Genomic DNA, 17,256 nt, shown 5'->3' with positions numbered 1-17,256 from the left:
CTGAAGGAGTAGGGAGAGGAAGAGCCTGCATTTAGAGATCGGTGTGCACACTTTGCCATAAGAAAGCAGAAAAGTATTTGACCATTTAAAAACACGTGCTGTCTTGAAGGCTGATTGAAAGGACATAATTGTCACCAACTTGTATTTTTAAAGAGGCCATTTTGAAAAGATAGTTTGAAAATGTAGTGAGAAATGCTAGAGTTACTTTTCCTCTTCTGGAGCTGCCAATAATAAACTGATGGTGATCCGCATTCCCTGTGTTCCCGGAGAATTAGCATGATTTTCAAAACGACTGAAACATGTCTTTTAACTTTTGCATTGATAATGAGGAAGGGGAAAATGAGACGTCATGCGGACTTCCCCAAGTGTTAATTCATAACGTCGTATGTGCAGTGCCTCCATCCATTGTGGGATTGTTCTGACGTTATCCTGTTATTGGAAGTGCATGATTCACCTTCTAAGGAAACAGAAGCCACACACAAAAGGGGAAGATTTGCTTTCTGCCCTGTGAAAGCCTGCCACACGCAGGGGTCCTATTAAGACAGCTGGAAAGTTGCTTCAGTGTGTTACGCTTGTAAGTTTTATTGGTGACTGGTTTTTGATTACACATTTGAATGCTGTGTGTTCCAGACTGCAGTTTTAATTAAAAGGCAGTAGTCTTTTTTTTTTAAATTGCACTGTGCACTCTTGGTAGATTCTCTCACATAGTAGTTCTTATTTTCCAATGTTCACAGCTTGTCTTGGTTAGAGGCTCTGATGCCCCCTCAGAATCTATCTTCCTAGCCTTCTCTCTTCCCAGTAACTTGCATCTTCTTATTTTTAAGAAGCGTCTGCACTGTCGTATCACCAAGTTGCTTGAAGTATCAACTCATATGTCAGTAGGCTAAGAATGTTTTATCCACTGAAATAGGATGTAAAAGATCTACCACTGTCAGTGGAAAGAGATGCTATTGCAATCAGTATCTCCTGTTTTTGTTTAAATCGACCCTAATGATCTTATGATGTTATTCTGTAACTGTTGCTTTACATGTTTTTTAGTGTTATTAGTATTTAATGCAATTAAAGTCTAAGAGAAACTTAGGTCTCAAAACCAGAATTTGGGTATGAATTATGACTAATACTTAATTTTCTGCAAGATGGTAAAGAACCTGCAGGATACTTTTTTACACAGAAAAAATTGCACAACGGTATTAAAAGTGAATTCTGTCACTGCTCTGCATGCCACTTTGCACGTGCACTTGTTTCCTTAACCGATTACCGCAGCTATGAAGAGCGAGCTCTGTATCTCGAAGCAATAATTCAGAACCACCGCGAAGTAATGACATTCGAGGATTTCGCAGCCCAAGTCTTTTCTCCCTCTCCCAGCTACTCCCTCAGCGGAACGGGTGAGTGTCTACATTATTCTTCTCTCACGCGCTTAAGACGCATTCGAGCAGCAGATGTACACCTGTTTTTCACAGATAAATGCTTTGCAAATTTAAGAAGAGCATTCTCCCTCTGAATCAACTAATGAATATCAAAAGGAATGATGACATTCATTTTAATTTGTTTTGTATTCGAGCTGTTCACTCAGTTCCTTTCTTCAGCTATCCTGTTAACCTTCAAATCTAGCAAGGTTAATGAACTTTTTCTCAGTAATGTGCTCCGGTTCATTCAGGAGTGTGGGTTTCTTGCTGAGCTGGGAATATGCTGTTTAAAAGCGATGCCCGAATCAGTGCTTACTTATCAAAAAAGAGTTCCTCACAGTGGAAGCCGTTGCTACTAATGCTAAATGGGGATTATGCTGCCGAGATTCGAAGGTCAGGGATTAATGCAGGAGACATGGAAGGACAGTGTCCCGGGGTCCATCATTACAGCAGTGCAGTGTGCGTGTCTCTCTGGAGTGGTTTGTGTCATGTGGACAAGCCGCCGACCGGAGCAGCACCTGGTGTGGAACCCGTTTAGAAACTAGCTTACAATAATTTTCATTTATTAGGGCCAGTGGAAAATTGTGAAAGTTTCCATAGATTTCCTTGTTTTTAGGTTTTTATTCTTTTTATATTTCCAGTTTGGGGGGAAAAATACATGTATTGCCACTTAAACAGATTATGTGATTACTGTGTGTTTCTTTCAAATAATAGAATTATTACTTGTAAATTTCTGCATATAATTACAGATTAATTGCCTTTCAGAGAATAAATGGGATATTTAGCCAATGCATGTTGAGATTCTCAGTGAGGAGCTTCCTTCTTCTTCCACTGCTTTAAATGAAACTGTTAGAGTGCTTAATAGATTTCTAACCTGTGTCAATTGTCTCTGAACACTGCCTTACTTCTCCTATTCTGACTTGTTAACAAATATCTTATACACAAAGTGAAAAAAAATTAAATCCAGTGAAATAAATCACTTACAAATAAAATCAGCCATGCATCATTGTTTAACATCGCTGGCCTCAATCCTTGCCTCTCAGAGCTTTGTTGGGAGATAAGAGGGAGAGGCACGCACTTGCGCAGGGAGCCAGGAGCAGCAGGCAGAAGGCTTGGGAGATAAGCAGGCTGGCAGAGGTGCAGGAGCAGCGTGATTTGCATAATCACGCCTCTGCTTCCTGGTGAGGCGTCAAGGAACACTGGGATGGCCTCTATTGATCTTTGTTGAACTGGAATACTAAGCAACATGAGAAAAGCTTATAACTTAAAGCTTTGATTAATGTTTCTTACATTAAAAAAGTGGAACAGCTGTGAATTGAATTCTTTTATACACTCTGCCAACATTCTATCTAAGACAAAAACAAATTCGTTTCAAGGGAAATGAAGATTTCATACTCGGTCTGGCTAGAGATTTTAAATCGTTTCTAATTTTTCAGTGAAAGAACATGAGGGATCTGTAGCAAAGCTAATTTTAAAAAGATCTCATTCAGCTTTTTCCCACCCTCATGAGATTATTCCCCTCTTCGTGAGGACTTGATTTTTCAGTGCAGGTTGTTTTTTGTTTTTTGTTTGTTTGTTTAACTCTTGAGAAAGCTTTTTACTTCTTAAAATTAAACACGTAAATAATAACTAGATGTTTTCATTCCTTAACTGTTACATTCTTAAGATTATTAAGATATTATCAAAATGAATAATGATGGACTTTGTTTTCTATGTATATTTTAGCCTCTGTATAAACTAATTTGATCTTTTCCAAACATCCATAATTATTTAAACCAATAGAAATGAGTGAGATTCTAGGAGCAATTTGAGTTTTTAAGAACTCTACTTGGAGAGGATTGTCAATAGGCTTCTTCAAGAACGTCATATTTTTGAAAATTGCTTAGCAGAATGAAGATTCTGACAGCATGTGAGGGTGGGCATTGGAACTCTTCTAAAAGGAACGTGAAACCAAACATGGAATATCAAGACAAATGCTACTCCCTCCGCTTTTCAAATTATTAACATCAGTATTACATTTCATAGTGTTCATGGTTTAAGGAATTCAGTGTTGAGTGGGAAACATTTTTATACGTCTATCATGCCTATCCTTAAGTGTGATTTTTAAGTCTAGGCATAATGTTCTGTTTTAATTCTTTGCATATCTTCTCATAACGCTGAGTAGGAATGAACTAGATATAATCTTGATTTGAACTGAAATGTGGGGCAGTACAATGAGGACAGAGCATTTCAGCACCATAGACAAGCACGTTTTCGGAAGCATCTTCTAGCTTACATACTGGCTTCGCTTTTGAGGAATCCCTGTCCACTATCTGTTACTACTTCTACAGATGAAAACATTTGTCATTTGTTTACACTGTTATGTTCTTGGGACAAGGGCGATCAAACCCAGATGAGCCAGCCAGCTTAAACTAAGAAATTGAGGTGAAGTCTGTTCTTCCAAGCAACAAGCCAACTGGAAAAATTGACCCTGAGCGGCTTAAGCTCCCACAGTGCACTTAGGACCCAATCAGACCATCTCTGGCCCTCAGTGTCATCAAAGCAGGGCCTTGGGCTTGGGCTCACATGCGTATGCACAATCTGAGGAATTAGGGGCTCCTAGGTTTTCTTTGTATCCTCACCACCAGGACTTTATTATTAATGAAGAGGGAGCATCACCTGAACACTGCATTCATTCTGCACTGTATTGGTAGCAGCAAGCCAGAAAGCAGCATGCAGCCCCCACTTCTAGAGGGAAAGCCCCAAAATCAGCCTTTAAGTCTGAAGTAAAAGTGGGAGATGCACTCGGTGGGAATGGCCTGTGCCTGAAGCTTCCACTGTTGGAAAATGCCCTCTGCTTCTGACTCTCCCCATCCAGGTGCTGTTACCCATCCGCCCAACAAGCCCTGCGGGGGTGGGTTGGCCAGGTGAACAGGCTTGCGTTCAGGATGCGCCGTCAACCACACATGGTGGTGTAGCTGCTAATATATGAGCGCTCGGCATTTTTCAAAGAGCTTTCAAAACAAAATCTATTTTCCTAATGAGAAAATATTTTTAAAGACCATCGTATCTACCTTGTATCTATTCCATCCATTACTTGTATTGATAACACCTGACATGTAAAGATATTTCAACTACTTTTTTACCTAGCACTATAGTTTACCTTCCTTTTTTGACCAGCATTAAATAATCTAAAATGTAGCCAGTATTAAAATATTGGTTGCAATTAACATATATATGTTTTATGTATAAATACATTTATATACACATATACATTTCTCTCTCACACACACACACATATTGGGGTGGGGGACTAAATTTGTGCTTTCAATCATATCACCAAGAAAGAGGGACCGGCAGAGAGGCCTTGAAAGGGTTAACTGGAATGGGCACCCTCGACTGCTGGGAGGGACTGATGTAATCACTGCAGCTCACAGCCAAGTGCATCTGTTCACCATGAGGTCATTCTTCTGCATGCTAATGATTTGGAAAATCAAGTCTAGTGTTTGACATTATCAGAAAAGATATAAATAGTGTAAATCTTTGCTTTTTAGAAGTTGCTCTTATAAAAGAGAAAAAAAGGAACTTTACATTGGACCTGAGATTTTTTTCAGAACTGCCTTAAAGATTGTGTCTGGATCTAAAAATTTTGGAGGAATCCACTTGTGTCTGTTGATCAATCAATCCCCAGATCACTATTACGGTCACAGCTAGCAATCTGGTAGCCAAGGGCTACAGGTATGTCTCATTTAATATCTAATTTTAAGAATTTCCAAGTGCCTTTGTCAGAAGTTGATAGATTTTTCTCAAAGAATGTTCAAAACCAAGTTAAATGAGTGGTTCTTCTCGGAATACCCAAACTGACTTGTGTTTGCTGAAGATGCCAATACTACGTATGGTTCCTTTCTGCTTCAATATTGCTATAGAGAGCCAGCAGAGGGAGCACAGGTCTTTGTTTATTTGTTAGCCCTGCATAAACACAGCATTTGATTTCTCCAAGATATGGTCAGAAATACTTCCTCCTTTATGATAGGCTGGATTGTCAAGGCTCCAGGATTTAGAACAAGTGGGAGAAAATTCCTCACTATGCTTCATCAGAGTCTGCCACTTTTAATGTAGGTCGTATTTGGAGCTTAAACCAGATTAGTCTGAGTCGGTCTTAGGATGCCACTGCCATTCCTGCTACTGCACAAAACTGCAAACTTTCATCTTTCACACAATTGCTTGGATGCCCTCGTGGAAAGGGTTATTATTGCCACTTACCTAATGAAAAAGACTTCTGTAGCTTTTCTTCTACAACACAGTCGTTATGTTAAGTTTGCAGAACCTTTGCCAGAAGACTCTGCCTGGTGTCACTGAGTCATTTTGGTGGCCAATAAAATCTTCTCCTAAAACTGCAGATGGAGGCACTTATGTTACACATTCGCCCCAAAGCAAATCTGAGATGTAGACACTACACAAACTCCTCTTAGAACTCACCAGCCTTTGCCCAGAGGGATATGGCTACACCCAGCTTTTGCTTGCTAAGGCCTCCGCGCCATATGCAGCTCGTCATTCCGCATGCAGTCCTGACAGGCAGTCTTCCTTGGCCGTTTCACTGGGCAGTTAATAATCAAGTTAATTCCCAGAAACAGCACAAGTAAATCCTAACCCAAACCACCAAAAAGAGTTTCCCCGCTCATTGAAAGGATAGTCATGTGACAGACTCATCACATTCATATTCATTCCCTCCCTGTTAAAGTGGTCTTAATACGGTTTTAATTAATAGTGCTTCTTTTGAATTGTATGTGTTCAGCTTCCCCATAACTTTGCTGAAGCCAGCAAAGAACATCATAGAATGTTGAACTAGAAGGGACTTCAGGAAAGATCATGTCTAACCCTGTCACATTAATTTGGAGCAAGCTGAAGACCAACCCAGGAAGGGACCACCGAAGGTCATGGGCAAGTTGGAATCAGTGCCAACTCAATCTTCACCTCCCCATTTCACATGGAAATGCCAGCCCTGTGCCCACCCTATAGTGATAATCCCATAATCAGAGCCGTAGCTACCAGCTCTTTATTCATACTAAAGGCCAGAGTCAAATTTTACTCTATTCAGATAATACAGAAGTTTTCCCTTTTGGTCTCACTCTGTCGCCCAGGCCTGGATTGCATTGGTGTGAGCACAGCCCACTGCATCCTTCCCGTCCCAGGCTCGAGCAATCCTCTAGCCTCAGCCTCCTGAGTAGCTGGAACTACAGGCATAAGCCACCACATGCAGCTAATTTCTGTATTTCTTATAGAGACAGGGGTTCACCATGTTACCCAGGCTGGTCTTGAACTCCTGGGTTCAAGCGATCTGCCCACCTCAGCCTCCCAAAGTACTAGGATTACAGGTGTGTGCCACTGCACCTGACCCAAAAGTTTTCCTTAAATACAAACTATCTTATATGACCATCTATTCAATAACTCAGCCATCCCACTCAGCACCCTCAGCACACTTGGCTGTAGCTGGCCAAAGTGTTGCCACATGTCCTACAGACAACTGCCTTGGACAGATGTTTCTTCTACCCCCATAATCCCTTCTGGACACAGCCCAAGTCTTCCTTCCCTCATAACCGGCTTGATTCTGACCACTTTTGCTTTGATTTTTTTCCAATTTAAGATGTATTCTTCTTGGAAAGATGGTACAACATTGATAGAAAGTTTTTTTTACCAGCTATCATTCCATCACCAAGACCCAGTGGGATTCAATTCTGGCTTCACATTGGAATCCCCTGTGAAGCTGTAAAGATACCGATGCTTGAGTCCCTCCACTAGATTCGGATTTATTGGTCTGGGGTGTGACCTGAGCATGGAATTTTAAAAAAGAAAAAAAAGAAAAAACTGAGGGTATTTTAACGTGCAGGCAGGACTGAGAACCACTGCCCTAAATCCTCTCTGAAATATTTAGGCCTTAATTTTAGTGCCATCCGACTTGTGGTTACATATATCTTGATTTTCCTTAGCATATGTAAGCCTTTATCCTGCGTGTGTGTCTCCTCTCCATAATGGACTGTAAATTCTTTAGAGACTGGTACATGGGATTTCTTTCCTACATGCAACAGGAGTGAATAGAAAGGAGGACAGAAAGGAATCAGGCTGTTGCTTTAAGCAGCACAGGTGTGTCTCTAGACCACAGATGTGTGGGCCTGATGCAAGATGCAGAGCAAACACTCGTAATTATGTTTCATCTGTCCCCTCCTTCCCAGTCTCTTAGTGAAAGTGGGCCACCGACAAGAAATCTGATAAGAAGCCGGTGTGGAGAAAGGCAGGGGAAGTCAGGAGCCAGCGAATCCACAGACCGAGTAACTGAAACTTGATTCGAGGTGCTTTCGTAGATGGTCTCGAGGGTTTTAAAGGGAATTATCGATCACCTTGTTTAGCACCACTTTAGGCTTCGTGCTTCTTCATCCCTTTGTTCTTTTAAAACTTTTTTACTCTCCTCAGTGTCAGCTCTGGAAGAGATGAGACAAGCATTCTTTTCATTTGCTTGGCTAGGAAAGTGCCACTGCTACCTGTCAGATGTTACCATCTCTGACGTGGTCCTTGTTGCCCCTGGAGGCTGCCACTGAGCAGGACTGTGCAGGGCACTTCAGGCAACACAAACTAAGGCTCTGGGAATCTCATGCAGGCCTGTGTCTCTCCTTCCCTTGTGAAGCTTGAAGTCTTATTGGAGAAAAGCAGACACTCGTGAGCCACACACAAAAAAAATGGCTATTTATTAATAAGCTCAGATAAGTTTCCTCCAAACTATAACCACATGTCAAAAAGATAGCCAGCCAGTGGTTTAGGCCAGTTGGGTTGAGATTTCCCTGAGATGGACCATGCCATTTGCCTTGTCAACTTGAGGAGAATGAAAACTTGCCTCGTTTGTATTAGATATTCTACTAAGCATCCTGCCAGTTGGTTTGGAACTTCCCCACATTGCCTAATGTCTGAGAACTGGAAGGCCCATGGACAAAAATAAAAAGATAGAGGATAGTAAATGTGAGAAGAGCAGAGAGAAAGAAACCACATGTTTCAGAGCCACTGCGGGGACAGTGACACTCCTGACAACCCTGGGGCTGGTGCTGGGAGTATTCATAGGTTCCCAGAATAAGAAGCGGCCTGAGATCATTCATTTTGAAGTGTGACCTTGCACTGAATCTGTTCCCTTGGCAGAACTCTGAAGGTGCGGTTTTTCTGTGAAATGCTGCGTTAGGTTCTGGGTTCCCAGTCCTTACAGAGTTTTAAGTGCAGGTGGCATCTTCCTCCTGCCTGACTGCTAATTACAGCTCAGGGGACGCTTTAGCAGTTGCCAAGAGATGGCTGGCAGGTACCAGGAATTTTTCTCAGAGACAATTTTTGGAAATAACTCTTAATTAAAGCTTATTTGAAATAACCTTGAGAATGTATTTCAGAAGAACCTGAAGCTCCCGACACCCCGGGTTCACATTCCTTGTGAATCGTGACTGGCCCTCAAGTCCTCCTGGCTCAGCAGGTGGTGCATGCACAACCTCAGCTGCTGAGGGGCCTCCTAGAAGACTCAGTGGTTTTGCTCAAATTCCTGTTTAGGAACAGCCAAACCAAAGCAGAGGCCAAATGGAACCTCTCTTATTCGCAGTTAAGTCTTCTGACAGAAAGAAGAAAGAATATTTTGTACTACCCTTTTCCAGGAAGATATAGGATGATAACAGGAACTAAACCTGCCGGTTCCTTTTTGCCCATTAGCCTTTAAAGTCCCTCAAACAGCAGAAGGAATAAAATCCCTTAAAAATGGGAAACATGCCCATCCATTTGAAATAAGTAACTTTACATATTTACAGCATTGATGTGGCCAAATTCACTTCTCAGTACACAAGAAACCTAGTAGCATCACAGTAGACAATGCCGAGAAAGAATAGGGAAAACCCTATTCTATTTTGTGGCCACTTCAAGAATATGAGACAATAAAATCCAGATGCATAGAGGACACGTTCCACCTACCTGTGCCCCCACGCAGAGGCTCCTCTTGCCTTTCCCGCAGCACTCAGCTGTGACCTGTGGTGGGAACCAGTGGCCTCCACCATCCCAGCATCTGTCTTCTCCTGTGTGGGATTGTGTGATCTGTGAGATTGCCTGAGGATATGGAAAAGGAATCATGGGTATGGCTTGGGAAGGTTCCACTCCCCCATACCCCTAATCTCAGGCAAAACAGGAAGTGTGCACACCTTGCCTTGCCAGTGCTGCTGAATGTGTATGGGTAGACTCTGCAGTCAGCGTGCATCCCAGAGCCCACGTGCAGTCATTAGGGAAGCCCTGCTCCCTAGCTACATCCCTAGGGTGCAGAGAAGCAGCTGGAGAAACAGCGCAACTCCAGTTAGCACCACAGCCTCCAGGTAACATCTGGGCATGCAGCTTCGTGAGGCTGGGCGCTCCGGACCAGGGTGACAGTCGCTGACCCAACAGCATCACATGTGAGAGTCCCAGAGGAAATAGATCACCACGGAGAAGGAAGGAGGAGGCCAGAAGTGGAAATCTGTAGCCCGCTAGGCTGACTCTGCTCTTTCTCCCACTTACCCAAAGCTAGCAACTTGCCAGAGGCCAAATTGAGATATTAAAACTCAGGTCCACTTAAGACCCGGGGACACAGAGGGATGCACCTTTGCTACAATTTAAGTAGATGCGAACTGCAGCTTCACTCCTCAGAGCATCTCATAAAGCCCACGAAAGTGGGTTTTCAGACATTCATCCCATAAATGTTTACCAAACACTGAATATGCCAGTTGCAGAGATGGGCAAGACAGACAGCAGCCCTTCCTTCACTGGAGGCTCACCTTCCAGACGGGAAAGGAGACGGCAGTGTCTGCTCTCAGGAGCTGAAGAGTACTGAGGAGAAAAGACAACAGGGAAAGAGCCTTGGGAGTGCCACTGAGAAAATCCAACACACCTGGGGTGGGGGCGCACTTTAAAATAGGGGGTCAGAGAAGGCCTCCCTGAAAAGGCGGCGTGTGAGAAATGACAAGGAAGGAGGGGCAGGAAAGAGCAGGTGGAAGGGCCTGAGGCAGGGACTTTCCTGGCACAATCAAGGAACAAGGAGCCCAGCCTCCTTAGAGCTGAGTGAGCCAGGGTGGGCAGGAAGAACAGGAAGGTCAGAGTGGCCTTACGGGCAGAGGGCAAGACCTTGGCTCTTGCTCTGGTGAGATGGGCAGCACACAAAGATGTGAAGCAGCAGAGTGCTGTGATATGACTCTTCCACGAAGGTCAGTCAGGCTTCAGTGGGGAGGGTGCACTGTGGGGATGGGGGACAACTTCCATGACAGTTTACTCGCCATGTATTCCCATCTCTGGGCACGCAACAGGTATGTCATATGTGTCTGGTGAATGAACAGATGTTATGCTTATACAATAGGTGTTCTGCCTGAACATTCCCTGGGGGGCACTAGAGGGGCCCTCAGCGGTGCCCCCTCACTCCAGCACCACAGAACATAGCCCCTGTCCTGGATTGCCCAGACAGGCAGAACGTGGAGCTCAGCCACGTGTCCCGCCCTGCCCTCAAGACCCTGCAGATCCCTGTAAGTTCCAGTGGTCATGAGCACGCGTGTGCGTGAAGAATCGCGCAGATGGCCATCCCCACTACACAGAAAGTGATTCAAGAGACTTTAAACAACTCAGTGACACAGAAGGGCAAGGATGGGAGGCAAGGCTCCCTAGCTTTTTTTACTCTTACAAAAATGGTCTCCAGGACTCTCTGTGAACTGTCACCATTCTTTATGTACATGTAGAGATTTGCAGTTTACTGCACACTTTCCCCAGAGTCCCCCCTCCCATGGGGCAAGATTTCTCTGACAGTTGAGGAATGGAGGCAGGCTGGTTTTTCCATCACCAGGTGGCTGGTCATGTCCAGACCAGAGCTCGAGCACTTAGGCCTCTCCATTCTCAGACAGGACTCATTGCTCCACCCTACAGCCCCGCTGCCTCTCCGTGCCTGCTGTGGGGGACCCACCCACAGGAATGAACAACCCAGTGGGGGAGAGGAGCCCTTCTTCAGTGGCAATGGCAAAATGTCCCTCCCTGAAGGCAGAAAGGACTGTTTTCTAGAATGTATGGCCTGTACAATTTATACAGTGGCAAAGACCATGCCACTTTGGCACGGATAACTGAGAAATTTAGCTAAAGGGTTGCCTACTTTGCAATTCAAAAGGAGCACCACAGAAATAATTCACATATAGGAAGTATCTTAATTATGGGCCAAAATTCCTTTCTGGGGACAAGACAGTTTTTATCGGTAAAACTACCAGACATTTCCATTGCTTCTGCAATGTTTCCTCAGACACCTCACACAAATACCTAGAACTCACTGTCCTCCCACAGTCATCATGGATCTAACTGCTACATTTTCTTGAGCTGTTGATTATTAGGGAAACTTTTAAAAAATAGTCCTGAGTGGCACACACACTCCCAGTGTATCTTGGGACAAATCACACAGTAATCCCACCTCACTGCCCCGGTCACTCCTGAGTTGTTTTAAGACAGATCAATTCAAGTTAGAATAAGCTTGGGAGACACCCTGGAAGGGAAAACAAGTCACTGAAAAGCAGTGTGCCAGCAGTGGGTTGGCCCTATTTGCTTTGAGGGTGGTGTGAGGTTTGGGGGGTGGCACAGCAGGAGAGGTGCTGGTGGCATCTACAGAACCTCACAGCTGCCCTCATTCCCCTGCTTGCCTGGGTGCCCCAGGGGATTTTTCTTCTAAAATCTTGGAGCCACTTCTGTTGTGTCACTTTTGGAATCATGGGAATAGTAGTGCCACCCAGACCACCTTCTATTCCATTTTGCCATTTTAAAAACCAGCTTATTGAGATCTAATTCACATACTGTGCAGTTCAACCACATGAAGTATACAAGTCGATGTTTTTGGTCTATTCATTAGGTTATGCAACCATTACCACAATCAAATTCTATAACATTTCATCCCCCCTTTTAAACAGCCTGCTGATAGGCAATCCCACTTCTCCCCGCCCACTCCTCAACTCTAAATAACCACAAATCCACTTTTTGTGTCTATGGACCTGCCCATTCTGGACATTTCATATAAATAAAATCATCCCATATGTGGTCTTTGGTGGCTGACTTCTTTCTTTTAGCATATTCTCAAGGTGCCTCCATGTGTAGCCCATATCGGTATTCCATTTCTTTTTATTGCCAAATATTCTGCTGTACGGATAGACCACATTTTATTGGTCCATTCACCAGTTGATGGACATTCGGGCTGTTTCCACTTTTGGTCACTGTGAATATTGCTGCTGTGAATGTTCGGGTCCTCTGTGGCCACTCACTCATGTGAATTCAGTCTGGTAAAGTACACAGACTTCCCATGGCTAAGATGCAGCGGAAATCTTGGTGTTTATGTTCCATGAGAGTGAGAGAGTCTGGAAACATTTCTTTATGATGGCCTAACAAGAAAGTTGACACCAAGATATTAATTTTAAATTTATAATTTAGTTTAATTTAGTCATAGAGCCACACACAAGTACATTATAGTCATGGGAGAGAAAGAAAAAAATGCCAGGAAAATTTTTTTTACCAATGATCCACCTGCTCACTTAGCCCCTGCACGGGAGCAGCACGTATACAGGCACACGCTCCATGCACTTTCCCTTCCTCCCTCCCTTCCTGTCCAGCTGTCCCAGCTTTCGGCTTCTGAACCAAGGGTGATGGGCAAGACCAACAACCAGAAAGAGGAAGCCAAACCCAGAGTCAGAGCCAGGGCCAGGACACAGCCACTGCTGCTGGATTGGAAATACTGGAAGCCATCCTTGGGCCATTTGGAGATGTTAATTAGGCTGGCTAATTCCCACTGGCCTTGGGTTGCCAGTGTTGAGTGTGTGGGCTTACCCCATCCACTGCCTGCACCTGTTCCCTTCCTCAGAGCCATTCCAAGGGGTCTGAATAGCCCAGACAGCTCTCTGATCTCCCACTCTGTCCGCCTTCCTGCTGGTAGGATATTTAGCACTTGCCTAAAGCTGGAGCCCTAGTCCACTGTTTCTCTCCCTCATCCATGCCAGCTCTCAAAATCATTCTCTTTCCTAATTATCTTGAACCAGTTAATCATTTTCCACACTGACTGTTCAGTAACCAGGATCCAAGGACAGGCAGCAGCGTTTCTTGTCCTGACCCTGCCCAGCCTCATCCCAGGTGGCGGTTCTGGATGGCAGCCTTTCTTCAGAGGCAAGAAGCTTGGTTCAAAGCCTTGCTCTCTTGCTATCCCAGTGAGTACAGCTGGAGAAAGCATGCCATAGAAAGGCCCACCAATTCCTGGAACGCCTCTGCTAGGCGGAGCCGCACATAACACAACACATCTCCAGCCAGCCTCTTGTTTCCTGTGCTGCTTTAAATCCCTGTTGATATCCAGAGTATCGGAGAAGTCACACAAGGTGGAAGAAGCAAGACATCTTTCTTCAAAAGTGACTTCTGGATTCCCCCGGCTCAACTCTGTGTCTGAGCCGCCAGTTGGCCACAGTTTGGCCTTTTGGTGTCTGAGTTAAACTGCTAAGGGCTGTCCCCGAGGAGTCTCACTCAACTACTCTTAGATATGAGTAGGGCTGGCTTCGATTCCCAGCACCACAAATAGGTAAAAATGACTTCAAATTTAAGACACTGTAACCCTATAACCTAGTGTCACAACTTTTTTTTTTTTTTTTTTTGAGACGGAGTTTCGCTCTATTGCCCAGGATGTAGTGCAATGGCATGATCCCAGCTCACTGAAACCACCTCCCCAGTTCAAGCGATTCTCCTGCCTCAGCCTCCCAAGTAGCTGGGATTACAGGTGCCCACCACCACACCCAGCTGATTTTTTGGTATTTTTAGTAGAGACAGGATTTCATCATGTTAGCCAGGCTGGTCTCAAACTCCTGACCTTAGGTGATCCACCCGCCTTGGCCTCCCAAAGTGCTGGGATTACAGGCGTGAGCCACCGTGCCCGGCTGTCACAACCTTTTATCCATTATCACCCCACCGTGGAGCCTTCTGAGACATTTTGGTTTCCTAATTTGTCCCCTCCCCTGAAACACCACAGAAACACTGTGTATCTGTTTACTTACAGTACTTAGACCTGTGCTGTATGCATATAAAGAGTAGGCTATTTTGCCACCCCAAGGGGTGATATCCCCTCATTAGACTGCATGCTGTAACTTTTCTCCCAGATCCCCTGGAGGCAGCGGTTTCATCTGCTTTGGTCACCACTGTAACCCAGAGCCTAAAACAGTACCTGGCACATATCTGCTGCTCATTTGACAAAGGGATAGGACAGTTAGGCTTTGTGTCTCTCCCCTATCGCCCCCAGACGTCAGGTCCCTCCTGGCCTCTTCCCACCCCCCATCTCCGAGCACATTGCCCTCCAGGTGCCCTCCACACTGCCCAGGTTGGTCAGTGCCCTGTGCGTACCCCAGAGATGTATCAGGAAGCTGACAGCTTACTCCTCTGCTCCACGACTGGAACCCCACCCTTTGGGAGCACCGCCGTGTGTCAAGGGCAAGTGACATTTGAGCCCCATGGAATAATCAAGGCAGCCCCCAACTGTCTCTGTCTTTGCATCTCCTTAACTCAACCATGGATTGGCAGTTACTGAGACATTCTTTGTGGTCCAGCACACCACACCAGGCTGCGTCTGGGGATGCACAGGAGAGGGGCAACCCAGTCCTCATCAGCAATTACAAACAAGTCCTCCATTGTTAGCTGCGCCATCTGCTTTCTTGGTTTCTACCAATCGGGTGCCTGTACGCACAGCATAACCAGGGCTGAGGGGCTGCAGAGGAGTGAGATCAAGGAGCGCCTTCATAAAGAGACCCTTTGCTCACACTGGAGGGTGTCAGTGGCATGGTGCTCTAAAAGCCGAACTTCCTCAACTCAAGGAAGACCCACGCAGATATGCTCTATGTTTGCCCTCTTCCATGAGAGGAAATGGGGGCCCTTCAGCACAGCACATTGGGGGGAAATCAGAAATCTAAATGATTAATCATCCCGAGGATCCATGGAAAACATTCTAGCCCATGACCAACAGTCAGCAGCAGCCCAGAACCTCTTGTGCCCAAAGAGCACAACCAGGTGTGGAGAAGGAACGGTGTTAACGGTGGTTGGAAATCAAACCAAGGATCATACACGACCCACGATCAGTTACTGATCCAGAATCTCCTAACCCCAAATAATTTTCTTGGGAGAAAGGGACAATTTTCATCAATAGATTGGAAAAGATGTCTCCATAGCAGTGCACGTTTCTTTCATGGAGCCTTGGCTAAAAGAATGTTAGTGGTCACCTCCTGATGGCTGCTGGAGCCACCATCTTAGAAGTTTGCCCCTGTCACTGTGCCAACCTTGGCAACCTTGGCAGAGGGGGTCAGCAGAAAATCCACGTTTACAACTGTGACTGTGCAGACAATGGTCCACGTCACTGATAAATGTCCTTTGTCCAGATCTGATGGTCGTCTACTGACACAGAATTCAGGAGAGTTGTGGGGGCTGAGAGTTCAGGAGAAGCTACTGCCTGACGCAGAAAGAGGATGCATTTGCCAAGGAAACCCCGCCGTAGGAAATAGGATGGCGTGGAAGGGGTGGAAGAACCTGTCACAAGGCATAGAAAAGCTAAAATCCCCCTCAGTTCTGTGTGACTACTGAGACCCTGCTGCTCTGTGGGTGAGAGTGACCTTATGGTCCAATTTCACCACTCCAGGGAACCCTCCCAAGCTTTCCTCTGCACAGGATGCTGTGTGTTCCCTCCCTGGGGACTGTCATATTGCAGGTGACACCAGTATTAACACACTGTGTATAACTCAGAAACCTGTAAAATGAAACTTGGAGACATGTAAACTTGCCCACCTAGGGGGTTTCAATTATTTTTTCAGGTCATCCATTGAATTTCAAATGCTTGTCTTGAAAACACTTTTATCTTTGTATTTTAAACAAAATCAGTCAGGAAAAGTTGGAGAGCAGGGAAAGGATATAGCTGTCAGTGCTGTTCAGCATCTGTAGGGCTCCTGACAAGGTCTGCATGCATAGATCCTGACAAGGTCTGCATGCGTAGATCCTGGGAGTTCTAATGTCTCTCTCATTTCACATTTGTAAACACGACATCGGCTTGTATTTTGTCCTATCAAGTAGAATTTTCAAGTGAATGTTCAGTTTTTACTGATTGACAAGGCTGCAGAAATGCTTGGGCAGCTCAGGGATAAATGTATTATTAGCACTGTGTTAGTTATCAAGTTGGAGCTGTGGGGGTGTTGTGTTTGTATTCATTCCATTTTGTGTTCTTTCCCTTCAGATTAAAACACGTAAAGGTCTCATTTCAATATTTGAGCAAGGTAAGACAGACACTTCAGTGGATTTGTCCAGCCACCCTGCTTTGGGGAGGGGGTGGGACTTTTCTAATCGGCTGCCCTCGGTAGCGGACCCTGCATCAGTGCTCCTCGCCCTCCTGGGCCTTCCCCTCCCCGGGGGCCCTGCCCACACTCCTGCCCCTGCATGTCTGCGCTGCCCGGGGAAGCCCAGCCTTGCCTTTCTTCTGCCCGTGCACTCGGGGAGGAATCCGACACCAACACCTGCCATCCCGGAAAATGTCTTTGTCGCCTGCCCTTTTGTGTGTGGGGCTGCAGGGAGCCAGCGGGCGCTGGGGCCGCCCCCTTTTTTGTTGCCCAGGCCTGAAGGAGCAGGGTCTTGAGATGGGCCGATAAGACACGGCACGTGCTGGGCCGGCCTTTGACCGCCAGCCTTAATGGAGGCCTCTGAGACCTCCATGCGGGGAGGGCAGGTTGTGGCGGGGGCTGCTGAATGGAACAGCTGGGGAAGGAAAAGCGGACAAAAGCTGCGGGAGCGCAGAGGGTGGAGACCTAGGAATGGGCTG

At 45.4% G+C, this 17,256-nt stretch overlaps 1 protein-coding gene across 13 annotated transcripts in view, besides 2 other annotated features; it reads left to right on the top strand.

Moving 5' to 3' along the window:
* Positions 1 to 17,256, top strand: part of RALGAPA2 (Ral GTPase activating protein catalytic subunit alpha 2) — a 323,115-nt gene that overhangs the window by 299,233 nt on the left and 6,626 nt on the right. For 7 of the 13 annotated variants that reach the window (XM_011529310.3, XM_005260768.3, XM_006723598.2 and 4 more), the window contains one exon: positions 1,264 to 1,385. In XM_011529310.3, coding sequence (XP_011527612.1) covers positions 1,264 to 1,385 — 122 coding nt within the window. Of the gene's footprint in view, positions 1 to 1,263; positions 1,386 to 16,677; positions 16,718 to 17,256 lie in introns of all 13 variants that reach the window. The other 6 variants (XR_007067471.1, XR_937111.3, XR_007067470.1 and 3 more) reach the window with 1 other exon arrangement.
* Positions 2,201 to 2,835: an enhancer, noted in NCBI's record as "NANOG hESC enhancer chr20:20391221-20391855 (GRCh37/hg19 assembly coordinates)". NCBI's record gives its function as "activates a minimal SCP1, AML or CMV promoter by ChIP-STARR-seq in primed H9 embryonic stem cells {active_cell/tissue: H9 hESC(primed)}" and the evidence as "EXISTENCE:reporter gene assay evidence [ECO:0000049][PMID:30033119]".
* Positions 16,873 to 17,167: a silencer, noted in NCBI's record as "tiled region #956; HepG2 Repressive non-DNase unmatched - State 15:Elon, and K562 Repressive non-DNase unmatched - State 22:ReprW". NCBI's record gives its function as "represses a minimal TATA promoter and a strong SV40 promoter by Sharpr-MPRA in HepG2 and K562 cells {active_cell/tissue: HepG2 | K562}" and the evidence as "EXISTENCE:reporter gene assay evidence [ECO:0000049][PMID:27701403]".

The sequence above is a fragment of the Homo sapiens genome, chromosome 20 (genome assembly GCF_000001405.40).
Source record: "Homo sapiens chromosome 20, GRCh38.p14 Primary Assembly".
Lineage (NCBI taxonomy): Eukaryota > Metazoa > Chordata > Mammalia > Primates > Hominidae > Homo > Homo sapiens.
The sequence above is the reverse complement of the archived record's forward strand: the minus strand, read 5'-3'. Positions and strand labels throughout refer to the sequence as shown.